We start from the raw sequence: 27,421 nt of genomic DNA on the forward strand, positions 1-27,421 counted from the left end.
AGAGTAATCCACAAACAGCAGCTATAATCAATCATTGGTAAGGCCCTAGTAACCAAGCTGGCCTAACACAGACAGGCCAAAAGACCCGGACACAAAGACCAAACACTAAGGTCGAATCAAGAACAAAACTTCATCTCTGTGATCATGGAAACTGGCACCCCAGACTGTAGCTTTCAAACAAGCACAGCAAAGAAATGTACACCCATTTCTTGTGCTCTCAAGTCTAGCTCCTCGGTGCCAAGCACCGGGCATGCTTCTCGGCTCCTCAGTGGCTTTAGAAACCATCACCATCTCCGCAACAAGGTCCAGACTTCACCTGGTCATGTCCGTCCCGGGCCAGAGCTAGCTCCTGCTCTATCTCCCCCACGTGGCTCGTGGCCTTGGCCACCTCCGCCCTCTCCAGATCCCGTTCCGCCAGCAGCTGCTCAATGTGCTGCTGCTTCTCCTTCAGGGCCTCCTGGAGGGCAGTGGTACCGGAGATCTTCCTGGCGTAACGGGAGGAGGTTTCAGTCAACTGTAAAGGAAAGTTAGAGAAATGAAGGGCGATGATGCTGTCAGAAAAGCGAGGGAGGCGCGATGCATGCATGGCGGGCATCTGCTCGGCAAAGCAAGGGCGCTGCTCCAGCTGGCAGGCTGGCCAGGATTAGGAAAGGCTTCCTCAAAAACACAAGACAGTGTGTGCCTTCTGTCTATAAATCTCACAAAGAATACATCAACGTAAAGAGATCAGCCAGGTGCGGTGGCTCATGCCTGTAATCCTAGCACTTCAGGAGGCCAAGGCGGGTGGATCACTTGAGGCCAGGAGTTTGAGACCTGGCCAAGATGATGAGACCCCATCTCTACTAAAAATACAAAAATTAGCTGGAGTGCAGTGGTGCGATCTCAGCTGACTGCAACCTCCACCTCCTGGATTCAAGTGATTCTCCTGCTTCAGCCTCCCAAGTAGCTGGGATCACAGGCGTGCACCACTACCGCCCAGCTAATTTTTATATTTTTAGTAGAGACGGGGTTTTGCCATGTTCGCCAGGCTGTTCTCGAACTCTAAAGTGCTAAGGTTACAGGTGTGAGCCACCGCGCCAAAGGCCATCTGCTCAGCCACTGCTGGCTCCAGATCAAGTCAGCCTTGACTTCATCTTCTGCAGTCAGAGCTGCTGCAGCTGTCGCCTGAAAGCTCTTCTCTTCATCGGTTTCCCTAGGCCCTTACTGCAAGATGCACAGGATGCAGACTTACAGCGAGGATCTTTCCTCAATTAATAACTCGGCAACTTGAGAACTACAAAAGAATCAACCTTTTGTTCTTGAAATTACTTAAACATACCAGGAAGAAACTCCTGTTGTCTTTTTTAACCATTTGACCTTGACCTTCCAATTTCATTATATAGCTAAATTATACCTTCTCTTGCTAATATTTCTTCCTGAATACATTAAATGTGTGGTTCCCAAACCATGTGCAGAGATGCCCCAGGGTGCTGAGCAAACTCACCAGTGCACTGTAGGATGTTTTAAAATTTCAAGAGAAACACAGCGACATCTGCTGGACTCTGTGCAAACTACTAGTTTGAGGCAATTCAGTCTCATTAGATTGTCCTACAGTCCTTTCAATAACATCATGTACTTTCAAAGCTGGGTTTTGGCTATTCCCATGACGAAAATGAAAGTATGATGCAAAAATCAACATGCACAGGAAATGAGGTTGGTGATGAGAAATCAGATTCCAAGGCTTGACTAGATGTGTAGAGCCCAACAGCAGCGCACACAGTAACATGAAGTCATTCTGGTTATTAAAGAATGAATTGGGTCCCTCTCCCTCTCTCCCTCTCCCTCTCTCCCTCTCCCTCTCCCCACGGTCTCCCTCTCCCTCTCTTTCCATGGTCTCCCTCTGATGCCGAGCCGAAGCTGGACTGTACTGCTGCCATCTCGGCTCACTGCAGCCTCCCTGCCTGATTCTCCTGCCTCAGCCTGCCGAGTGCCTGCGATTGCAGGCGCGCGCCGCCACGCCTGACTGGTTTTCGTATTTTTTTGGTGGAGACGGGGTTTCGCTGTGTTGGCCGGGCTGGTCTCCAGCTCCTAACTGCGAGTGATCCGCCAGCCTCGGCCTCCCGAGGTGCCGAGATTGCAGACGGAGTCTGGTTCACTCAGTGCTCAATGGTACCCAGGCTGGAGTGCAGTAGCGTGATCTCGGCTCGCTACAACCTCCACCTCCCAGCCGCCTGCCTTGGCCTCCCAAAGTGCCGAGACTGCAGCCTCTGCCCAGCCGCCACCCCGTCTGGGAAGTGAGGAGCCCCTCTGCCTGGCTGCCCAGTCTGGAAAGTGAGGAGCGTCTCTGCCCGGCCGCCATCTCATCTAGAAGTGAGGAGCGCCTCTTCCCGGCCGCCGTCCCATCTAGGAAGTGAGGAGCGTCTCTGCCCGGCCGCCCATCGTCTGAGATGTGGGGAGCGCCTCTGCCCCGCTGCCCCATCTGGGATGTGAGGAGCGCCTCTACCTGGCCGCGACCCTGTCTGGGAGGTGAGGAGCGTCTCTGCCCGGCCGCCCCGTCTGAGAAGAGAGGAGACCCTCCGCCTGGCAACCGCCCCGTCTGAGAAGTGAGGAGCCCCTCCGCCCGGCAGCCGCCCTGTCTGAGAAGTGAAGAGCCCCTCCGCCCGGCAGCCACCCCGTCTGGGAAGTGAGGAGCGTCTCCGCCCGGCAGCCACCCCATCCAGGAGGGAGGTGGGGGGGGTCAGCCCGCCACCCGGCCAGCCGCCCCGTCCGGGAGGGAGGTGGGGGGGGTCAGCCCCCCCCGCCCGGCCAGCCGCCCCGTCCGGAAGGTGAGGGGCGCCTCTGCCCGGCCACCCCTACTGGGAAGTGAGGAGCCCCTCTGCCCGGCCAGCCGCCCCGTCCGGGAGGGAGATGGGGGGGTCAGTCCCCTGCCCAGCCAGCCGCCCCGTCCGGGAGGTGAGGGGCGCCTCTGCCCGGCCGCCCCTACTGGGAAGTGAGGAGCCCCTCTGCCCGGCTAGCCGCCCCATCCGGGAGGGAGGTGGGGGGGGTCAGCCCCCCGCCCGGCCAGCCGCCCCGCCTGGGAGGTGAGGGGCGCCTCTGCTCGGCCGCCCCTACTGGGAAGTGAGGAGCCCCTCTGCCCGGCCACCACCCCGTCTGGGAGGTGTACCCAACAGCTCATTGAGAACGGGCCATGATGACAATGGCGGTTTTGTGGAATAGAAAGGGGGGAAAGGTGGGGAAAAGATTGAGAAATCGAATGGTTGCCATGTCTGTGTAGAAAGAGGTAGACATGGGAGACTTTTCATTTTGCTCTGTACTAAGAAAAATTCTTCTGCCTTGGGATCCTGTTGATCTGTGACCTTACCCCCAACCCTGTGCTCTCTGAAACATGTGCTGTGTCCACTCAGGGTTAAATGGATTAAGGGCGGTGCAAGATGTGCTTTGTTAAACAGATGCTTGAAGGCAGCATGCTCGTTAAGAGTCATCACCACTCCCTAATCTCAAGTACCCAGGGACACAAACACTGCGGAAGGCCGCAGGGTCCTCTGCCTAGGAAAACCAGAGACCTTTGTTTACTTGTTTATCTGCTGACCTTCCCTCCACTATTGTCCTATGACCCTGCCAAATCCCCCTCTGCGAGAAACACCCAAGAATGAACAATTAAAAAAAAAAAAAGAAAAAAGAAAAAAAAAACCACTTGTTGAAATATTGAGTTAGATATGGAAGGGGGCAGTATGGCATAATGACTTAAGGTCCAGTTTCTGTATACAAGTCTTAGCTCCATCACTTCTTAGCTATTTTACCTTCAGTGAGCTACCTGACTTCAGTTGAGCCTCAGTTTTCTCATCTGTAAATTGGGTATATATTTCATAGGATTGTTTGATAAAATGTAAGATAAAATGAGATAACTTTGTAAAATGCTTATTACATTGTCTGGCACATGGTATTTCCTCAATAAATAGTTGACTTTAAAAAAAAAAAAAAAAAAGAATGAATTGGCCAGGTGTGGTGGCTCACGCCTCATGCCTGTAATCCCAGCACTTTGGGAAGCAGAGGCGGGCAGATCACCTGAGGTCAGGTGTTCGAGACTGGCCTGGCCAACATGGTGAAACCTCGTCTCTACTAAAAATACAAAAATTAGCCGGGCATGGTGGCGTGTGCCTATAATCCCAGCTACTTGGGAGGCTGAGGCAGGAAAATCGCTTGAACCCGGGAGACAAGAGGTTGCAGTGCGCTGAGATCGTGCCACTGCACTCTAACCTGGGCAACAGCAAGACTCCATCTCAAAAAAATAAAAAATAAAAATAAAAACAAATAAAGAATGAATTAAATTTTTTTCAATTTTTGTTTTTCTAAAACAGAAATACATTTCTGAGCAAAGTAACTGAAATGACACTTTCAATTTCTCTATCTTTGTCATACTATTTTATGGTGATTTTTGGCTTAGAAACCATAAAGACACAAAAATAAGCTGTCTCACAGGTACAGAAACTCACGTCTCTTTTGTCAATTTTCACTGAATGAGGTGAGCTAAGAGGTACAAGAACTGGTCCAAAAAGTAAGAGGAGAGATTGGCGGGAGCAGGGAGAGCTTGCTATTTCCCAAAGAAATGGACACAATTAAAAGGTAATAAAAATTACTCAAGAAAGAATTCCTAATCCAGAATAGACCCTCCCATGGAATTGTTCCTAGAACAGCAAAGGAGGCAAGCTGTCCCTATCAGAGTTTCTGACCCACATTAAACAAAGCTCTGTCTGAACACAGGGGTTTGGGGCTCTTCTCCATTTCATTGTTCTTGTCATGCTTTTCTCATAAAAGTAATTTTTCTGTTGAAGATGCAGGCTTCCTCTTTATGCGCAAATGGAAATGCTCTGAGCAGTACTTATTCTACCTGAACATAGAGGAAGGAAGCCTAGATGGCTGGCAGAGGAGCACAGCCCCACGTGAAGATTTCAGCACCTGTCCCTTCTCTGCCCGACGACAATGGAAGAGCAGGCACCGTGAGATCCTGGGCTAACCACCTCCTCCCCGCAGCACAACGCAACATCCTAGCTCCTGGTCTGCGGTTCCCCACCACCCAGCGGAGACCTGAACTCAGTCTGAGGAAAGTCTGATGCCGCCATTTCTAACTTAAACAGTATTTGCCCCACTTCTAGGTAATAAACTTATGGGCAGGGCTTTGACCCTAATAAAATAACACCTTAATAAACAGAATGAGGTGTTGCCTATTTTAATGCTAGTGATTCTATTTTTACTGCTCTAAACAGGAAAAAGAGGGAGAGAGGGAAAGGGACCAGGAGAAGAAGAGGAAAGAAGAGAGTAATCAAAACAGGCTTTCCTAGTATCCTCTTCCAGCTCCAAGAGTTCCCTTTAGTGTCCTCTGGCTCAAGTCAGGGACACTTCACACACTAACTGCTTCCAGTAGGTCAGGTTGTATTAACATTAAAATCCTATTAACACACCTTTTCTCAAAACACTTCACTTCCTAAAATTATTTGAAGTCAAAGAGAAAGAGAGGCTGGGAGCAGTGGCTCACGCCTGTAAATCCCAACACTTTGGAAGTCCAGGGCAAGAGGATCGCTTGAGCCTAAGAATTCGAGACCAGCCTGGGCAACACAGTGGGTCCCTCTCTCTACAAAAAAAAAAAAAAAAAAAAAATTAAATTAACCAGGCGTGGTGGTGTGCACCAGTAGTCCCAACTACTGGGGAGGCTGAGGCAGCAGGACTGCTTGAGCCTGGGACGTTGAGGCTGGGTGACAAAGTGAGACCCTGACTCAAAAGAAAAAATAAAAAAAAGAGAGAGAGGGAGAGACAGATCTATGGACTTGAAGAAAAGGATCTCTCCAATGTTCCTATCATTTTGTCCTAAAATAATTTCATAGAAAATAATTTGACCCCTGTGTTAGACTAGGCAGTAGTTATACAGATTCACCAAGAACACATGCATTTTTAAGCTTTTAAGAATCTGAAAGGGACTATTAAAAGCACTTTCTGATTTCAAAAAACGCATTCTTGCTGGAGTTACATTTTTCAAAACTTACTTGCAAAGACTTTCACAGCAAAAGCTGTGAGCAACATTCAGCACAAGGACAAGCAAAGCAGCAAAGCAGCAAAGCAGGGGCACTGACCACGGGCCTTAATCCTGCCTGGGAAGTGGAGGCAGGTAGTGAGAAAGGGGCCTTACTAGTCCTGTCCGACTGGGCCTGCTGCTCACAGAGGAGGCCACTGAGCTCATGGAGCTGAGGGAAGAGGCAGAAGGGCTGCGCTTCAGGCTGGCGGACGTGGTCGCCATCACTCGCCTCACTGCGTTGGCCTTGGCTTTGGCTGGTGTAGTGGAAGGGAAGCCAATCTTGGTAACTTTGTGGACAGGAGCGAACAAGCCATATTTGGGTTGACACTGAAAATACCTTTAGAGAACAATAAGAACAATAACAAAAAACAACTTAATCACAAGAAATAATAACTATAACCAAAAGGTTCTCCCAACTCCTAACTTACGGTTGGATTCCTGGAAATTCTACAGCTAAGCTGGGGTTACACACCAGCACGTAGCAGTCACATGTATGTAGGCTAACAACCTCAGTGATGGTTTAGAACACACACTGGTGACAATATGATACACAGAGTCAGAATTGCTCACCTGTTGCTGAGATTCTGCATAAAGGAAATAAATATTTTCACAACCTGATAAATGTACAGCAGAGGAGTTTAGCAATAGAACAAGCCCATTTAATAAAACCGTGCCAAACAAAGGGAAAGGAAATCAAACAGGCACCTAACTTTGGCAGATCCATTAAAGTAAACATGAAGAGTTGGACGTGGTGGCTCACGCCTGTAATCCCAGCACTGTGGGAGGCCGAGGCGGCAGATCACTTGAGCCCAGGAGTTCAAGACCAGCCAGGGCAATATGGACAGACCCCGTCTCTACAAAAAATACAAAAACTAGCCAGGCATGGTGGTGCAGGAGGCTCTCTTGAGCCCAAGAGGTCAAGGCTGAAGTAACCCGAGATTGCACCACTGTAGTCCAGCCTGGGTGACGGGGTGGACTCTGTCTCAAAACAAACAAATAAAAAACTCAAGTGATGGGCGCACCAAAATCTCAGATATCACTACAAAAGAAGTTATTCATATAACCAAACACCATCTGTTCCCCAAAAACCTATTGAAATAAGTAAAATGTATAATTTTTTTTTTTTTGAGACAAAGTCTCAGTCTGTTGCCCAGGCTGGAGTGCAGCGGCGCAATCTCAGCTCACCACAACCTCCGCCTCCCAGGTTCAAGCGATTCTCCTGCCTCAGCCTCCCGAGTAGCTGGGACTACAGGCACACGCCACCCTGCCTGGCTGATTTTTGTATTTTTAGTAGAGACAGGGTTTCAATATGTTGGCCAGGATGGTCTCGAACTCCTGATCTCGTGATCTGCCCACCTTGGCCTCCCAAAGTGCTGGGATTACAGGCGTGAGCCACCATGCCCCGCCCAAAAAATATATACTTTTTTTAATTAAAAAAAAAAATCTACCCAAACTTAACTGTAGAGAAATATAAATACAAAATGGCTAACATACAGGAAAAATCTAGTTAAAAAAAAGAGGCCAGGCGCCGTGGCTCACGCCTGTAATAGAACTTCCAGAGGCCAAGGTGGGCGGATCATGAGGTCAGGAGATCGAGACCATCCTGTCCAACATGGTGAAACCCAGTCTCTACTAAAAATACAAAAATTATCTGGGCGTGGTGGTGTGTGTCTGTAATCCCAGCTACTCGGGAGGCTGAAGCAGGAGAATCGCTTGAACCTGAGAGTCAGAGGTTGCGGTGAGCCAAGATTGTGCCACTGCACTTCAGCCTGGCAACAGAGCAAGACTCCATCTCAAAAAAAAAAAAAAAAAAAAAAAAAAAAAAAGTTCATTGAAAATTTTTAATATCTGTTTCAATAAAAATATGATAAAAAAAAAAAAAAAAGATAAAGTACTCTGCAAGTATAGCATTGAGAAGACCCAGAAAAAACAAAACGGCATTGGAGGGAAAAAAAAAAAGTAAACATGGAGAAATATTAACTATTAATGTCTATTTTCAGACTGACATGGGCAATGCCATGACTCTAAAGGATTACAGTGTTTTAATATGAAGAAAAGATGGCTTCATAATCATTGCAGTTCCAAGAGAGCTTTATCTCTATGAGTCATAATTACTGTATCTGGTAGATAAAGCCCTTTTCTCTATAATTAATTTGCTTATAACCAATTTGTCTGTTTTATAAGTAAAATGTTAACTACCACATTTTAATAATCAAGTGATGCATTAATGTACTGTATACTACTAATAATGCATCATAGACAACACCTGTGCCTTCAAAACATTTTGAAAAGAAAAGTGGGAAATTCCTTCTGCATCTGTGTGCATTACTGTACTCCCATCCTGTGTCTGGGAGGCAAGAACGGGGTTATCCAGGCTGGACGCGGTGGCTCACACCTGTAATACCAGCACTTTGGGAGACCAAGACAGGTGGATCACTTGTGCCCAGGAGTTTGAGACCAGCCTGGGCAACACCCCGTCTCTACTAAAAATACAAAAATTAGCCAGGCATTGTGGCGTGCGCCTGTAATTTCAGCTACTTGGGAGGCTGAGGCAGGAGAATTGCTTGAATCCAGAAGGGGGAGGTTGCATGCACTGAGCCGAGATGGCGCCACTGCACTCCAGCCCGGCCAACAGACAGAGGCCCTGTCTCAAAAAAAAAAAAAAAAGAATGGGGTTATCCTTACGATGGAAGAGGTCCGCTTGGCGGTCTGTTCTCCTGCCGCAGGATGGAATTCTCATCAAATATGAAGACACATTTTGCAGTTCTTTTCCCTAATAAAGGTGGCTACCTTCTGCCCCCGCCCCCTCCCCAGACGCCCAGGTATTCTTTCAGAAGTCAACTCCTATCAAAAGGGAGAGAAGCCAGACAGATAACATGGTATTTCCTATTTTGAAAAATAAACAGAATGCTTGTTCAGAATCTACTCAGACATACTACATGTATTACTAAGGAGACAGTCAAAAAGAACAGCCCCAATTTTAGTGTGGGGAAAAAAAATTAGCAGATGGGTCTTAGGAAATAAAAGTGCCACTCTTCCAAACACAACTTTCCATGTTATGATACACGCTTGGTGAGACTGGCCTGAGCATCGTCACGTACAAGAGTGACACAAGATGTTGCACAACGCCAAACAAACCTTGTTCCAGCAACAGCGCCATCATTCTTCCCAAGTGGCTCATCTAACTCCACGCCACACCACTCCCCCTTGGCAAAGTCGGTCTCCCCAAGAAACCGGACTACACCAGCCTTAGTGCCACCAACCTGGAAGAAGAGAAGGTTAAAATAAAGAGATGAACATCACTCTATAGCTTAATCGTTTGTGGTCCCTACTAGTAACTAGGTACTACATTCCATCATTTCCACCAGCAACTTCTTTGCTTTAGCTTCTCTTTGACTCTAAGAGTTCTCTTGAAGGAAGTCTGGCAAAGAAACTTACCTGGCTGACTTATATTACCAGAGTGATTTGATGCCTAATATGTTGCAATAATGAGACAGCCAATCTAATATGCAGTCATTAAGGCTGTTCACCAAGTTCATTATTGCTTTTCTTAGAAAATACTTTTTTTTTTTTTTTTGAGACAGGGTCTCACTCTGTCATCCAGGCTAGAGTGCAGTGGCACCATCATGGCTCACTGCAACCTTGACCTCCCGGGCTAGGGGATCTTCCCACCTCAACCTCCTGGGTAGCTGAAACTACAGGTGCACACCACCAAACAGGCTATTTTTTTTTGTATTTTTTGTGGAGACAGGGTTTTGCCATGTTGCCCAGGCTGGTCTTGAACTCCTGGGCTCAAGTGATCTGCCCACCTCAGCTTCCCAAAGTGTTGGGATTACAGGCGTGAGCCACCACTCTTGGACCTCACTTTATTTTTCTAACAGAAATGTTCCTGCTTCGCCTTTCGGCCGGAACCGCCATCTTCCAGTAATTCGCCAAAATGACGAACACAAAGCGAAAGAGGAGAGGCACCCGATATATGTTCTCTAGGCCTTTTAGAAAAAATGGAGTTGCTCCTTTGGCCACATATATGCAAATCTATAAGAAAGGTGATATTGCAGCCATAAAAAATGATGAGTTCATGTCCTTTGTAGGGACATGGATGAAATTGGGAATCATCATTCTCAGTAAACTATCGCAAGGACAAAAAACCAAACACCGCATGTTCTCACTCATAGGTGGGAATTGAACAATGAGAACACATGGACACAGTAAGGGGAACATCACACTCTGGGGACTGTTGTGGGGTGGGGGGAGAGGAGAGGGATAGCATTAGGAGATATACCTAATGCTAAATGACGAGTTAATGGGTGCAGCACACCAGCATGGCACATGTATACATATGTAACTAACCTGCACAATGTGCACATGTACCCTAAAACTTAAAGTATAATAATAATAAAATAAAAATAAAAAAAAGAAAGGTGATATTGTAGACATCAAAGGAATGCGTACTGTTCAAAAAGGAATGCCCCACAAGTGTTACCATGGCAAAAGTGGAAGTCTACAATGTTACCCAGCATGCTGTTGGCATTGTTGTAAACAAACAAGGGCAAGATTCTTGCCAAGAGAAATAATGTGCGTATGGAGCACATTAAGCACTCTAAGAGCCAAGATAGCTTCCTGAAACGCGTGAAGGAAAATGATCAGAAAAAGAAAGAAGCCAAAGAGCAAGGGACCTGGGTTCAACTCAAGCGCCAGCCTGCTCCACCCAGAGAAGCACACTTTGTGAGAACCAATGGGAAGGAGCCTGAGCTGCTGGAACCTATTCCCTATGAATTCATGGCATAATAGATGTTAAAAAATAAAATAAAATAAAGGACCTCTGGGCTATTTAAAAAAAAAAAAAAAGAAAGAACTGCTCCTGCTTCAAAACAAACTTGTGGCTGGGCACAGTGGTTCATGCCTGTAATCTCAGCACTTTGGGAGGCCCAGGCAGGAGAACTGCTCGAGCCCAGGAGTTCGAGACCAGGCTGGACAACATAAGGAAGACCCTGTCTGTACAAATAATAAAAAAAATTAGCCGGGCATAGTGGTGTGCGCCTGTGGTCCCACTCCTCAGGAAGCTGAGGTGGGAGGATTGCTTGAGCCCAAGGGTTTGAGGCTGCAGTGAGCCACAGTTGTACCACTGCACTCCAGCCTGGGTGACAGAGTGAGACTCCACCTCAAAAAAATAAAAAAGTAAATAGGCCAGGCACGATGGCTCACGCCTCCCAGCACTTTGGGAGGCCAAGGTGGGTGGATCACCTGAGGTTGGGAGTTTGAGAGCAGCCTGGCCAACATGGTAAAAACCTGTCTCTACTAAAAATACAAAAATCAGCTGGGTGTGGTGGCTCACGCCTGTAGTCCCAGCTACTTGGGAGGCTGAGGCACAAGAATAACTTGCACCCGGGAAGCGGAGGTTGCAATGATCCAAGATCACACCACTGCACTCCAGCCTAGGCGACAGGGAGAGACTCTGTCTCAAAAAAAAAAAAAAGTACTTCAAAAAATAATTGGCCCAGTGTGGAAGTTCACACCTATAATCCCAGCACTTTGGGAGGCTGAGGTGGGAGGATCGCTGGAGTCCCCAAGGCTGCAGTGAGCCATGATCACACCACTGCACTACAGCCTGGGCAATAGAACAAGAAACTGTTTCAAAAAATAATAATTGACTCTTGCTATTTTCCACAGTGAGGCTCTCTGTTTCTTCACAACTATTAAAATTATCCTTCCTAGGCTGGGTGCGGTGGCTCAGGTCTGTAATTCCAACACTTTGGGAGGCCAAGGCAGGCGGATCACTTGAGGCCAGGAGTTCGAGACCAGCTTGGCCAACATGGTGAAACTCCATCTCTACTAAAGATACAAAAATTAGCTGGATGCAGTGGCACATGCCTATAATCCCAGCTACTCAAGTGGCTGAGGCACAAGAGTTGCTTGAACCAAGGAGGCAGAGGTTGCAGTGAGCCAAGACTGTGCCAATGTACTCCAGCCTGGGTGACAGAGTGAGACCTTGTCTCAAAAAAAAGAGTACTAGTTCTAGACTTGACACATTTGACCTTTTAGTACTCGTTAGTACTAACACACAAATCATCACCTATATAAAATTGGTCTCACTGCAGTTGAGTCAAAAGAAAATAAAGTCGGCCTCAATTTTCTCCTTCCTCCCACACCACACCATTCAGAGCAGCAGTCCAGCCAGCATCATGTGAGCAGGACACAGCACATTAGTTAAAGATGATGCAACCTCTTCAGACAATGTGTTAAATTCTTTGGGGATGAGTCGAAGTCACTGTCATGACAATTGCTTTTCCAAGAGGCATCTAATAGGCTATAGTCAACAATTCTCCAAGCAAACTACAAGCTTCATTCAGATCAGCTTTGTAAAAAGTAATCACAAATAACAAATTAGCAACTATTTCTCTAAATGCAGGTAATATACATGTATCCTGAAAAAAAAATTATGTCACAAAATTTGTCTGAAATGAATGATTACTAGTTCCTAGAACAAAAAGTTTTCTTATATTCTTTCTCCCACCAAACATGGAACTCTTCACTCATTTAACAGAAAATGTATTTTTCTTTTCCCTGTAAAAAATCAGTAGTTATTCTATGGAGACAGAAAGTCAGGTGAAGTCCTAAAATCATCAAATGTTTTTCTACTTAATCATTCTACAATCAAAAAACGTGTTTACGCATTTCAACGGGACTTTACAAAGTTAGGTTTTATTTCTCATGTGTTCCAGACAATGCAGAAAAGTCTAGTACATGCACGTACAGGAAACAGAAGCATTAAATAATGCATTGACAATAAACAGAAGGCACTATTATCAAATCATATCTAAGAAATCTATGTTCTAAGACAAATATCTAAGTTATTAAAGAAAAACATTTTCAATATTGAAACAAAAAACAAGGCCAGGTGCAGTGGCTCATGCCTGTAATCCCACCATTTTGGGAGGCCAAGGCAGGAGGATCATCTGAGGCCAGGAGTTTGAGACTGGCCTGGGCAACACAGTGAGACTCCATCTCTACAAAAATTTAAAAATTAGCCAGGCATGGTGGCATGTGCCTGTGATCCCAGCTACTGAGGCTGCAAGTGAGCTATGATCATGACACTGCACTCCAGCCTGGACAAGACAGTGAGACCCTGTCTCAAAAACAAACAAAAAAACTAAAAGATAGATTCCCATGGCAAACACAAACAAGCCCAATTCGTTCTCTTTACTCTCAGAATGTTAGCATGTAACTCCTAATACTGTGGTAAAAGTCACTACTGAAGACAGAATTAATTTAAACTAGAAACGCAAAAAAAACCCTAGATACTATTTTTATGCTTTAGCAAACCTCAGATTTTTAAGTTCTCATTTATTTATTCAATATATATTTCTTGAGTGTTTGGATCCTTAAAAAACAAGGATAAACAGAATACAGCGTTGGCCATTGAGGGAGACAGACAAGAAGATTCAGACAAGAAATTCCTGTAAAAAGTGTTAAGTACATCAAGAGATTTCTACAAAATGCTGTGGGAACAGAAACAAATACCCTTCCTGTACGCTCCTGTAAAAAATAAAAACACTGATAAATTCCTGTTGGGTTAATGAGTGGGTGTCTACAAACAGGAAACAGAAACAATCCTCTCTGGACTCTCTCATCTCTTCATTATCCAGTTCTCGGCAAGCCATTTAATCTCACAGTGCCTGAGTGCATAAAGCTATAAAATGTCTCAAGAGCAGTAATGAGGGGTTGTTTCACAGGAATTTTGTGAGCAGTCTTGTAAGGTGGCTTCTTATCTGCCATATTCCAAGATAAACAGCTTATTTTAAAAAGTAAACATGGAGGCCAGGTGGGGTGACTCATGTCTGCAATCCTAGCTCTTTGGGAGGCCGAGGCAGGCAGATCACTTGAGGTCAGGAGTTTGAGACAGGCCTGAAATTCTGTCTCTACTAAAAATACAAAAATTAGTCGGGCATGGTGGCAAGCACCTGTAATCCCAGCTACTCGGGAGGTTGAGGCGGGAAAATCACTTCAACCCCAGAGGTGGAGGTTGCAGTGACCCAAGATCACACCACTGCACTTCAATAAAAAAAAAATAAAATAAAATAAACATGGTTAGCTGGTATTTGCCAAATACAAATGTAAGCCTCACTTAAAACTTAATTGCCTGTGACATGAAAGAGCCAAAGCACGGTACTTTTTTTTTTTTCCTTCTTTTTGAGACGGAGTTTCGCTCTGTCGTCCAGGCTGGAGTGCAGTGGCATGATCTCAGCTCACTACAACCTCTGCCTCCCGGGTTCCAGAGATTTTCCTGCCTCAGCCTCCCAAGCAGCTGGGATTACAGGCATGTGCCACCACGCCCGGCTAATATTTTTGTATTTTTAGTAGAGACAGGGTTTCACCATGTTGGCCAGGCTAGTCTCCAACTCCTGACCTCAACTGATTCCACCCACCTTGACCTCCCAAAATGCTAGGATTACAGACGTGAGCCACCACGTCTGGCCACTTTTGATTACCTCAAGTAATATAATTACCTCCAGTGAAGGGCCAGTTCACCTTCCAGCAACTCTCCTACAGAGAAGGGTAAAATCTTCACTGGTCCTAAGTCGACCTCTGCTTGCCCTACTTTACTCTCTCCTTCATGGGTATAAAGTGACGACTGTATTCAAAACCCTCTGATTCTCTCCACACTATTTAATGAGCTCCTACTATGTGCCAGGCCCTGTCCTAAGTGTTGTGGGTGTGACAGTGAATGAGACAGAAAGTTTCCGTGCTTTCATGGAGGTTAAATTCTGGGCAGGGAGAAATGGACAATAAGCAAGTAAAAAAATGAAAGATAATTTTCAACTGGTGAAGAGGGCTATGAAAAAAATAAAACAGGGTAGTGTGACACTGCCATAGAAGGTGTCTTTAGTTGGGGTGGCCAAGGAAGGGATGCCTGAGGAGGTAACACTTGAGCATGACTTAAGTGACCACGAGGCACCGGGCACAAAACATCCCAAGCAGAAGAAACAACAAATTCTAAAGTGGGAATGAGTCTGGGTGTTTAGAAACAGCAAAGGGGGCCAGGCATGGTGGCTCACACCTGTAATTCCAGCACTTTGGGAGGCCAAGGCAGACAGATCATTTGAGGACAGGAATTCGAGACCAGCCTGGGCAACATGGCGAAACCCTGTCTCTACTAAAAATACAAAAATTAGCCAGCTGTGGTGGCTCACGCCTGTAGTCCCAGCTACTCAGGAGGCTGGGGCGCGACAATTGCTTGAGCCCTGTAGGCAGAGGGTGCAATGAGCCGAAATGGCGCTGCTGCACTTCAGCCTGGGCAACAGAGCAAAACCTATCTCAAAAAAAAAAAAAAAGAAGAAGAAGAAAGAAAAGAAACAGCAAAGGGGCCAGTGTAGCTGAAGCAGAGTGAGAAAGGGGTGTGAGAAGGACAAGAGGTCGGGAGGGTGGGCAGGGTCCAGAGAACAAGGGGCACTGCAAGTCCAAGGAAGGAGTTTCGATTTTTATTTTAATGCCATGAGGAGCCCCTTTAGATCACGATGTGTTGGTCTTCGTTGGTGCCATATCTACAACACCTGGAACAACTTCCGGTGCATAGCAGACGCTCAGGATATTTTCTGAATGAATTGCAGAGCATTAAACACAGCCTTTATAAAGCCATCATATTTTCTCTAGGCTAAATAAACAGTCCCAGTTACTTTATTCCTTTTATGATATCATTTTGAGTCTCCCAATCTCTAACAGGTGACATTAAATAAATCCCCTTAAAAAGAAATATGACAAGAGCAGATGACATATAACAGATACCCTCTTGTAAGTCTAACTCCCTAGAACTAACAGGTAAACAAAAGATGCACAATTATGAATAGACGCTTTGGCTAAAAGATGATGTTTTACTTGACTTGCACTTTATGTCTCGGAACTACTTAATCTCCGCTTCTGAAAGGCATCTGAGCTTCCACAGGATCCAGGACCCCAAGAATATCAAGACACAGGAAAGGGTAATGCATGCCTGTAATCCCAGCTACATGGGAGGCTGGGACAAGAGAATCGCCTGAACCTGGGAGGCAGAGGTTGCAGTGAGCCGAGATCATGCCACTGCACTCCAGCCTGGGCAACAGAGCAGGACTCTGTCTCAAAAAAAAAAAAGAAAAAAAAAAAAATCACCTCTTCTAACCCTGGGGGTTGATAAAATGCAGAATATTTATTCACCAGAAGCAGTCTTTTATATGGCACCCACTTGACCAAAATATTAGCAAAGTTTGCTTTTTAAATCTACAAAAGATCATAAGCTACCAAGTGTCTGAGGCTCAAGATATTTTTGTGATTATGCTTAGAGAATTCACAGGGACAATAAAGTTGTTAAAAGTTAGGAGATGTGATCCAGTAATAAGACAACACTGGCACTCAGTACTCAGGCCTGTGTGGCCAAACCTCCCTCTCCCCAAGTCCCAAAGCAGTGGCATGGGCTCCTCAACACAGAAAAGCTCCAAACTCCCAAGCCCCAAGAGCCTATACAAAGTTCTCAAGTCTAGACAGACACCAAATTTGGCACCTTTGGGGTTAGGATATTGGCTCAGGTTTAGAAAAAGAAACCACCGCCCAATTACTGAGCACCATAGAAAACGCTCCAAACATTGTGAAAATCAAAGCCAACGTTGCAGGCAGACTGGGCACTATTAAAAAGAGTTTAGGCAAAGGAACAGCATCACCAAATTGACATTTTAATTGATCTCTCTGTAATTGTGCAAAGAATAGAGGTGAGGAGAGACAAGGCAAGTGGCATGGACGGTGCCATGCAAGTCCAGGTAAAGATGATGATGGCCTGACCCAAAGCAGTCAGGGCACAGGGCACAGGACACAGGCGAGGAGGATGGACAGTGAGACCAGAGGCATGGGATCTGACAGGCAGGTGGACGGTTTCCTGTGTTTCCAAGCCTCAAAAGGAAAACTGGGGAACCCTCTCAAAACTGAAAGCAAGGAGCAGGAAGAGCACTGACAACGATGACCTGCTAAAATGTGACCCCACTGAGTCTGCTGTGTGCAAACAGGAAAAAGCTGCTTAACGCAGCTTCTCTGCAGCAGCATAAGGGGCCATGTATTTCCCTCCTGGACAACCCTAAAAGGTTACACTAGGTGAAGTTTAGAACTGGGAAACTGAAAAATGAAAAAAAAACTTGGCCGGGCACAGTGGCTCACGCCTGTAATCCCAGAACTTTGGGAGGCCAAGGTGGGCGGATCACTTGAGGTCAGGAGTTCGAGACCATACTGGCCAACATGGTGAAACCCTGTCTCTATGGGGAAAAAAAAAAAATACAGTCTGGGTGTGGTGGCTCACACCTGTAATCCCAATGCTTTGGGAGGCCGAGGCGAGCAGATCACCTGAGGTCAGGAGTTCAAGACCAGCCTGACCAACATGGAAAAACCCCGTCTCTACTAAAAATACAAAATTAGCCAGGCGTGGTGGCACATCCAGATAATCCCAGCTACTCAGGAGGCTGAGACAGGAGAATCACTTGAACCCGGGAGGCGGAGGTTGCAGTGAGATTGCGCCATTGCACTCCAGCCTGGGCGACAAGAGTGAAACCTGGTCTAAAGAAAAAAAAAAAAAATTAGTCGGGTGTGGTGGTGGGTGCCTGTAATCCCAGCTACGCTACTTGGGAAGCTGAGGCAGGAGAATCGCTTGAACTCACGGGGCAGAGGATGCAGTGAACTGAGATCATGCCACTGCACTCCAGCTGGGCAAAAGAGCGAGATTCCATCTTGATTAAAAAAAAAAAAACAAAACTAAAATCAGAAAAAATAATTATTCAAATCTGCAGCAAACCTCATCGCAAAGGAATTAAGCTAAGTAAAATCCATTGTGTTAGAAACGATCTCAAGATTCAGCCAAAAGGGGCTTTTAACTAAATGTGACTATCTGGCATCTTCTCAATTGTGGACCACACAAAACAGCAAATCCTGCCACTAACTACTCCATCAGCAATCTAGGCAAATGGATTTCAGGTAAAGAACAACTTCCCCAGAGCATAAACTCCCACCCAAAAAGAGCCCAAGAATTCCCCAAGTAGACAATGAAGAAACACTCAATGTAAATGCAAGGTCACAACCAGGCTCATAGGTTTGAGGTTCTAAGTCACCGATAAGAGGATTGAGAAAAACAGAAAAAATCGAATTATTAGGTGCAGCGTATACTGCTCGGAAGATGGGTGCACCAAAATCTCACAAAACACCACTAAAGAACTCACTCACGTAAGCAAACACCACTGGTTCCCCAATAACCTACGGTAATAAAAAAAATTTAATTAAAAAAGTTAATAAGGGCCGGGCGTGGTGGCTCACGCCTGTAATCGCAGCACTTTGGGAGGCAGAGGCAGGTGGATTGCCTGAGCTCAGGAGTTCAAGACTAGCTTGGGCAACATGACAAAACCCCATCTCTACTAAAAATACAAAGAATTAGCCAGGTGTGGTGGCGCACGTCTGTAGTCCCAGCTCCGGAGGCTGAGGCACGAGAATCGCTTGAACCCGGCAGGCAGAGGTTGCAGTGAGCCAAGATTGCGCCACTGCACTCCAACCTAGGGGGACAGAGTGAGACTCTGTCTCAAAAAAAAGAAAAAAAAAAAGTTAATATGGTAAATGAATCTAAAAAAAGAGCTTTAATTAACTTAATAAACAAGGTGAAAAAAAGCACCAGTAAGACTGAAAAAAAAAAAAACTTACCAGGAAGGACATACTTGTATACTGTTTGTGGAAACAAAAATAAAGGCTTTTTGGATTGCAATTTGGCAATATCTATTAACAATTTTAAATTATTTATACCCCTTGACTCAAATTTCATTTCTAGGGGAAAAATGGGTGCAATCTAAATGTGTATGATTAAATTAGGTATAGTACATCCAAAGAGTATAATATGAAACAGCAGCTTACTGTTTTAAATTAAGACCTGTATTTGCTTCCATACAAGTGCCCCAAATCTACAGTCTACAATCTACGAAAGCATATTATGAAAATGGCTTATATGTAATAAGACCTCACTATGTGTGTGTTTCACTTCTACATATTATAGACAAACCTCACAAAAATAATGTTCAGCAAATGAAGACAGACACAAAAAAAGCACATACTGGATAAATTATAGTTATTTAAGGTTCAAACACAAGCAAAACAAATCTTGTAAATATTTTTTTTAATTCTCAGGAAGATATTTTTCCCCTTTCACAGTATCAAAGACCTGTATAACAAGTGTTGAGCTCGTGCCTGTAATCCTAGCACTTTGGGAGGCCAAGGAGAGCGGATCACGAGGTCAGGAGTTTGAGAACAGCCTGGCCAATATGGTGAAACCCTGTCTCTATTAAAAATACAAAAATTAGGCTGGGCGTGGTAGCTCACGCCTGTAACCCCAACACTTTGGGAGGCGGAGGCAGGCAGATCACAAGGTCAGGAGATCGAGACCATCCTGGCTAACACAGTGAAACCCCGTCTCTACTAAAAATACAAAAAAAAAAAAAAAAAAATAGCGGCCGGGCGCAGTGGCTCACACCTGTAATCCCAGCAGTTTGGGAGGCCGAGGCAGGCAGATCACGAGGTCAAGAGATCGAGACCATCCTGGCTAACATGGTGAAACCCCGTCTCTACTAAAAATACCAAAAAAAAAAATTAGCAGCCAGGCGCGGTGGCTCACACCTGTAATCCCAGCACTTTGGGAGGCCGAGTCGGGTGGATCACGAGGTCAGGGGTTTGAGACTAGCCTGACCAACATGGTGAAACCCTGTCTCTACTAAAAATACAAAAAGTAGCTGGGCATGGTGGTGGGCGCCTGTAATCCCAGCTACTCAGGAGGCTGAGGCAGGAGAACTGCTTGAACCCAGGAGGCGGAGGTTACAGTGAGCCAAGATCGCGCCACTGCACTCTAGCCTGGGCAACAGAGCGAGACTCTGTCTCCAAAAATAAAAAAAAAGAGTGTTGAGAACAAGAAAATTCTACTCTAAGATTCTTAGTGTAAGAGCCCTGGGGAGTAGCTCACAGAAAGATAAAGCTTGTCAGTTCAAATCTAAAAAGCTGACAAGTCACCTCCTCATATATGGTCATGAGCTAAAAATTCAGCACAGAACATGCAGTCCAAGGCATGGAGACAACCACGTTGAAACACAACAGCTGGGCGTCAGTCAAATTGTCCAAGAACCTGACATCACATCCTAGAAATATCAAATATAATCTAAATGCAGCACTGTAGCCTTGCTTATGGAGGTTAGGAAACAAAGTTGTTAAATATCTCACTGAGGTCCCAAAGGCAAAGCAGGGACTTAGTTTGTCTTCTTAGCACTATGATACGCTGCCCCTCTTTAAAAAAAAAATCACTAAATTCTGAGGTTCTAGAATGTAGAGCATGTAGACCTTACACCTTGTGTTTCTGCTTATTAGTCAAACAGTAGCTACTGTACATTTCCTTCCTCTTCCTAAATCTAAACCTTATCATTTGAAAGGCCCTGAAATTCTTTTTTTTTTTTTTTCTTTGACATAGAGTCTCACTCTGTTGCCCAGGCTAGAGTGCAGTGGCGCAAACTCAGTTCACTGCAACCTCCCCATCCTGGGTTCAACCAATTCTCCTGCCTCAGCTTCCCAAGTAGCTGGGATTACAGGTGTGTGCCACTGAGCTCAGCTAATTTTTGTATTTTTAGTAGAGACGGGGTTTCACCATGTTGACCAGGCTGGTCTTGAACTCCTGACCTTAGGTGATATGCCTGCCTCGGCCTCCAAAACTGCTGGTATTATAGGCATGAGCCACTGCACCTGGCCTTGGCCCAGAAATTCTTGAGTAACATCCTCTGATGCCTTGAGTTTTCCAAGCCATTTAAGGTAGCAGAATCTTATACACACCCATATAATTTCACTAAACCAAAAATTAAAAATCAGAAGGGGAAAAAAAATCCAATTTTTATAAACACATCTAAGTTCACTTCTGAGCTTATTTTGTCAATAAAGTTACTCTTTTTTTTTTTTTTTTTGAAACAGGGTCTTGCTGGAGTGCCATGACATAATCATAGTTCCCTGCAGCTTCCATCTCCCAGGCTCAGCCTCCTGAGTAGCTGGGACTACAGGCGTGAGACCCCATGTCCGGCTTATTTTAATTTTGTTTTATATGGAGTCTTGCTTTGTTGCCCAGGCTGGAGTGTAGTGACGCGATCTTGGCTCACTGCAACCTCCACCTCCTGGGTTTAAGTGATTCTCCTGCCTAAACCTCCAAGTAGCTTGGATTACAGGTGCCTGCCACCATGCCTGTCTAATTTTTGTATTTTTAGTAGAGACGGGGTGTCGCCATGTTGGCCAGGCTGGTCTTGAACTCCTGACCTCAAGTGATCCACCCGCTTAGCCTCCCAAACTACTGGGATTACAGGAATGAGCCACCCCGCCCGGCCAATTATTTTATTTTTTATAGAGACAGGGTCTCACTTTGTTGCCCAGGTTCAAGTGATCCTCCCACCTTGGCCTCCCAAAATGCTGGGATTACAGGCGTAAGCCACCGTACCTAGCCACGGTTACCTTACTATTTACAAGTTCCTTGTTAGTATAGTGGTGAGTGTTTCTGCCTGTCATGTGGAGACTGGAGTTTGAGTCCCCAACAGGGAGCCATATAATATTAAGAAAAAAAATTTTTTTTTTCTTTGAGACAGAGTCTCGCTCTGTCTCCTAGGCTGGAGTGCGGTGGCGCAATCTCGGCTCACTGCAAGCTCCGCCTCCTGGGTTCAGGCCATTCTCTTGCCTCAGCCTCCCGAGTAGCTGGGACTACAGGCGCATGCCACCATGCCCGGCTAATTTTTTTTGTATTTTTTTAGTAGAGATGGGGTTTCACCGCATTAGCCAGGATGGTCTTGATCTCCTGACCTCGTGATCCACCCACCTGGGACTCCCAAAGTGCTGGGATTACAGGCATGAGCCACGGCACCTGGCCAAGAAAATTTTTAATAATAAAAGTAAATATTTAGAAATTATAAACTCAATATTCTTTTAGCTAAACTGCTAGATACAACTAGAATAGTTCACTGCTCTTTCTAGACACAAACTGCACAGCCAGTTTCTAATTTGTTGCGTAGTTACCCATAAACTGAACTGATTAATTTCTCTATAAAAGAGTGGTCATCCCTCCAGAACAGACTCTGAGCCAAGGAGTATCCTATGTGTGTATTTCTGGCATTTTTTTTTTTTTTTTGAGACAGAGTCTCACTCTCTCGCCCAGGCTGGAGTGTAGTGGCGCAATCTCGGCTCACTGCAACCTCCACCTCCCAGGTTCAGGCAATTCTCTGCCTCAGCCTCCTGAGTAGCTGGGATTACAGGCGCCCCCACCAATCCCAGCTAATTTTTTTGTATTTTTAGTAGAGACAGGGTTTCACCATCTTGGCCAGGCTGGTCTTGAACTCCTGACCTCGTGATCCACCCGCCTCAGCCTCCCAAAGTGCTGGGATTATAGGTGTGAGCCACCGCGCCCAGCCCTGATGTGTGTGTATTTCAACCACTCACTGGTGTTTATATCTCAGTTCAATGAAATGACCTCAGAATGTTTCTCTACTCACCAATACTCTGTCTCCGATTTTGAGCTCTCTTTCTCCTTTCTTGATTGAGCCAGCCTCTGAAAGGTTGGAGATAGATTCACTGGCAGTTTTTGTAAGGTTGCTGATCGGAGGCGTAGCTGAAGGTTCCTTTGCTGCTGGCTGTGATGGTTTCTGAGGGATGTTTGAAGGGGTGGAGGGGGAGGAAGACACCATGCTGGCCGTAGAAGTGCACAGCGGTGAAGTAGCTCGGGAGGCGGGCGTTGTCTGCAGGCCATTAGCTTCATCTTCTGCTTGCACCTTCCTTGTTAACTTTGAAGGTCGGGTAAATATGCCCTTTAAAGGTTCACACTGGAAATACCGAACTCCTGCCACCGAACCATCGTTCTTGCCTATGGGTTCATCTAAAACAATTCCAGCCCACTGGCCTGGTGCAAACTGGGTTTCTCCAAGAAACTGGATAAATCCAGGCTTATTTCCATTCACCCAAACTCGCTCCCCAACTCGAAAGTCATCCACAAATTCCTCCTGAGTCTCAGATGATGGAGTGCTTGATGCTTTTTCACTGGATATGGTTTTTTCTACTGGAGCTACAACTGAAAACAAAAGATCATAAGAGATTCGATTTAATTTTCAAGCAGACAACCTCTAACTTAAAGAAAAACTAGAGAAAGCCAACAGCCCACAGGAGTAGCCCAGAACTCTTAGAAAGGTGTTTTAAAGTGTGGTTTTTTGTTCTTTTGAGACAGTCTCGCTCTGTCGCCCAGGCTAGAATGCAGTGGTGTGATCTCGGCTCACTGCAACCTCCACCTTCCGGGTACAAGTGATTCTCCTCCTTCAGCCTCCTGAGTAGCTAGGATTACAGATGTGCACCACCATATCTGGCTAATTTTTGTATTTTTAGTAGAGACGGGGTCTCACCACGTTGGCCAGGCTGGTCTCAAACTCCTGACCTCAGGTGAACCTCCCGCCTCAGCCTCCCAAAGTGTTAGGATTACAGGCATGAGCCACTGTGCCTCACCAAAGTGTTTTTGTTTGTTTTGTGCTGTTTTGTTTTAAACAAGGAAGCCAAGAATAACTGATCCTTCACTACCATCTTCAATGCTGCTAAACTCCGCAAACTGGTAGTTGAGGTTTATTCCTTTATTTGCAATTAAGATTAGAAAAAGTCAAAGTAAGAAAAAAATAAAATCAGTCCTTTTTCCAGGCCTATATTCATAATTGGTCTGATTTCATTATTTGCTACACCCGCCACCCTGCACATCATGAGCAAATATCCATTCACATTCACTAAATAGCACTACTCCACAATTGAGTAGTCAATCGAAGCTGATAAAAACTAGGACTATTCCAGGCACAGTGGCTCACGCCTGTAATCCCACTTCTTTGAGAGGCTGAGGTGGGTGGATCATTTGAGGTCTGGAGTTTGAGACCAGCCCAGTCAACATGATGAAACCCCATTCCTACTAAAAAATATAGGGCCGGGTGCAGTGGCTCACACCTGTAATCCCAGCACTTTGGGAGGCCGAGGCGGGCAGATCACCTGAGGTCGGGAGTTTGAGACCAGCCTGACCAATGTGGAGAAACCCCATCTCTACTAAAAATACAAAATTAGCCGGGCATGGTGGAGCGCGCCTGTAGTCCCAGCTACTCGGGAGGCTGAGGCAGGAGAATCGCTTGCACCTGGGAGGCAGAGGTTGCAGTGAGCCGAAATCATGTCACTGCACTCTTGCCTGGGCAACAAGAGTGAAACTCCGTCTCAAAAAACAAAACAAAACCAAAAAAAAACAAAAATTAGCCAGGCATAGTGGTGGGTGCCATTAATCCCAGCTACTCTGGAGGCTGAGGCAGGAGAATCGCTTGAACCTGGGAGGTGGAGGTTGCAGTGAGCCGAGATTGAGCCACTGCATTCCAGCCTTGATAACAGAACAATACAGCATCTCAAAAAAAAAAAAAAACAAAAACCAGGCCTGGCATGGTGGCTCATGCCTGTAATCCCAGCACTTTGGGAAGCCAAGGCAGGCAGATAACCTGAGGTCAGGAGTTCAAGACCAGCCTGGGCAACATGGTGAAACCCCATCTCTACTAAAAATACAAAATTTAGCCAGACGTGGTGGAGCGCGCCTGTAATCCCAGCTACTTGGGACGCTGAGAGCCATGACAGTACCACTGCCCTCCAGCCTGGGCGACAGAGTGAAACCTTGTCTCAAAAACAAAGAAGCAAACAAAAAACCCTACAAAAATTCATTAAGCTCTCCACATATAAAATTTTACGTCTTTCAATTAAAAATTCTTTCAGGCCAGGCATGGTGGCTCACACCTATAATCCAGCACTTTGGGAGGCTGTGGTAGGCAGATAACTTGAGGTCAGGAGTTCAAGACCAGCCTGGCCAACATGGTGAAACCCCATCTCCACTAAAAATACAAAAATAAGCTGGGTATGGTGGCATGTGTCTGTAATCCCAGCTACTGGGGAGGCTGAGGCAGGAGAATCGCTTGAACCCCGGAGGTGGAGGTTGCAGTGAGCCGAGATTGTGCCACTGCACTCCAGCCTGGGGAATAGAGCAAGACTCCATCTTTAAAAAAAAAAAAAAAAAATGCAAGGCACAGTGGCTCACGCCTGTAATCTCAGCACTTTGGGAGGCCGAGGTGGGTGGATCACGAGGTCAGGAGATCGAGACCAGCCTGGCCAATATGGTGAAACCCCATCTCTACTAATAATACAAAAATTAGCTGAGCGTGGTAGTATGCGCCTATATTCCCAGCTACTTGGGAGGCTGAGGCAGGAGAATCGCTTGAACCCAGGAGGCGGAGCCTGCAGTGAGCCAAGATTGCGCCACTGCACTCCAGCCTGGGTGACAGAGTTAGATTCCATCTCAAAAAAAAAAAAAAATCTTTCAAATATTTTCAAGAATATGAACAGATATAAAATAATGTTTTAAAATTAAAAAGCAAATTGAAGTCTCCATATAGGATAAGGAAAGGAAAAGCGTAAAGTATTACCAGCCGTAGGTGTCTTCAGAGCTGTGCTTCCAGGCTTCAGGATCTTGGTGGGGGCCTTAAGCCCACTTGGCTTTAGCATACTCATTTTCTTTGTATGTCAGAGCTGTTTCTCCTTTGCCTGTTGCCACTATCTTTCCCCAACCATTGATACAACTGTGGGTTCTATAGTGAAGTCAGTCTCTGGATTAAATCTGCAAAGAGAAAGAAATAAAAAGATTTTATAATCTACAGGAGCAAGTAGGAACAACAGGTAGCTTTCATAGACTAAAGCTTTCCTTTCATTTGACAATAATCCATCTCCAGGCTGAACCTAGGAACCTAGAAGACTCTGGTTATTAAACACATGAAAATGCTGCTGAAATGGATTTAAAGGCAATTTACTATCCTCAAGACAAGCAGTTAGCCAGGTGCCATGACCCACTCCTCACATCTGTAATCCCAGCACTTTGGGAGGCTAAGATAGGAGGACTGTTTGAGGCCAGGAGTTCGAGACCAGCCTGATCAATATAGCAAGACCCTGTCTCTACAAAAATAAAAATAAAAATAAATTAGCCATGAGGCTGAGGGGGAAGGATTTCATGAGCCCAGGAGTTTGAGGCTGCAGTGAGCCATGATCGATCACACCACTGTACTCCAGCCTGGGTGACAGAGCAAGACCCCAACTCAAAACAAACAAACAAAAAACACAAAAACAAAAATAAGCAATTAAGACAAACAAAGTGTTTGCTTTGTTTTATATATCTAATGTTCTTAGCTCAGTACAGTTCCTAAAACCCACACAATCCATAAAAGAGGGTTCAGAAAAATCTACACCAAACAATGCGGGGAGAAAAAGGAAGCTTTCAGTTTTTTACTTTCATTTCTATATTGCTTAAGTTTTACTACAACAAGCCTGTATTAGCTATATTTTTTAAATCCACAGAATTATGCAATTTACAATATAAAACTATATATATGTTAAACTACAGGAAGATTAAAACTATGTAAGAAAAAGCCCTACCTGGGAAGTGATGAGGGAAAATTACCTTGTTTCTATCTAGAAAAAAACAATATACTGCTGGTTTACTCAAGACCAGATATGAATCTATGACTTTTGGACTAAGGTAAAATAGTATCCTGTCATATTCTCTTCACCTCCATAGAAAGTGAATTGAAATTACCTTGGGGTTTTGGAATATAGGGAAATATTTTCAGACATAATACCTAAAAACAGAACAATTCAAAGAGAAAAATGCTGCCATTTAATGACTCTGTCAAATGACAATGTTCTGCATTTTTCTCTGCGAGCAGAGCTTGGATGATGAAGCACAGACCTCACTTTCTCATCTTGTCTCCCTCACAGCCAACGCCAGCCACTGGCAAAGAATCTGGCCAGGGATGACAAAGGTACATGCAGCCCACTCCAGCGGATGGAACAGTGCCCTCCCCCAAAGACATGTCCCCCAGCACCTGTGAAAGTGATCTTATTTGGAAAAAGCATCTTTGCAGATATAATTAAGAATCTTGAGATAAGATCATCCTGGATTACCTTGGTAGGCCCAAAACCCAATGAAAAGCATCCCTATAAGAAGAAGTGACCAGGTGCACTGGCTCACGCCTGTAATCCCAACACTTTGGGACGCCAAGGTGGACGGATCACTTGAGGTCAGGAGTCCAAGGCCAGCCTGGTGAACCTGGTGAAACCTCGTCTCTCCTAAAAATACAAAAATTATGGCCGGGCGTGGTGGCTCACACCTGTAATCCCAGCACTTTGAGAGGCCGAGGCAGGCAGATCACCTGAGGTTGGGGGTTTGAGACCAGCCTGACCAACATGGAGAAACTCTGTCTCTACTAAAAATATAAAATTAGCCGG

At 45.4% G+C, this 27,421-nt stretch overlaps 1 protein-coding gene and 1 pseudogene across 24 annotated transcripts in view; one reads left to right on the plus strand and one right to left on the minus strand.

The window, feature by feature from the left end:
- Positions 1 to 27,421, minus strand: part of CLIP1 (CAP-Gly domain containing linker protein 1) — a 151,488-nt gene that overhangs the window by 83,330 nt on the left and 40,737 nt on the right. For 21 of the 24 annotated variants that reach the window (XM_047429314.1, XM_047429319.1, XM_017019792.3 and 18 more), the window contains exons 2-6: positions 25,570 to 25,760; positions 22,591 to 23,162; positions 9,185 to 9,309; positions 6,161 to 6,383; positions 317 to 514 (exon numbers count right to left, since the gene is read on the minus strand). In XM_047429314.1, coding sequence (XP_047285270.1) covers positions 317 to 514; positions 6,161 to 6,383; positions 9,185 to 9,309; positions 22,591 to 23,162; positions 25,570 to 25,654 — 1,203 coding nt within the window. In that variant the 5' untranslated portion in view covers positions 25,655 to 25,760. The remainder of the gene's footprint in view (positions 1 to 316; positions 515 to 6,160; positions 6,384 to 9,184; positions 9,310 to 22,590; positions 23,163 to 25,569; positions 25,761 to 27,421) is intronic. The other 3 variants (XM_047429321.1, XM_047429320.1, XM_047429318.1) reach the window with 1 other exon arrangement.
- Positions 9,944 to 10,876, plus strand: RPL21P1 (ribosomal protein L21 pseudogene 1; annotated as a pseudogene).

This window comes from Homo sapiens, chromosome 12 (assembly GCF_000001405.40).
Source record: "Homo sapiens chromosome 12, GRCh38.p14 Primary Assembly".
NCBI lineage: Eukaryota > Metazoa > Chordata > Mammalia > Primates > Hominidae > Homo > Homo sapiens.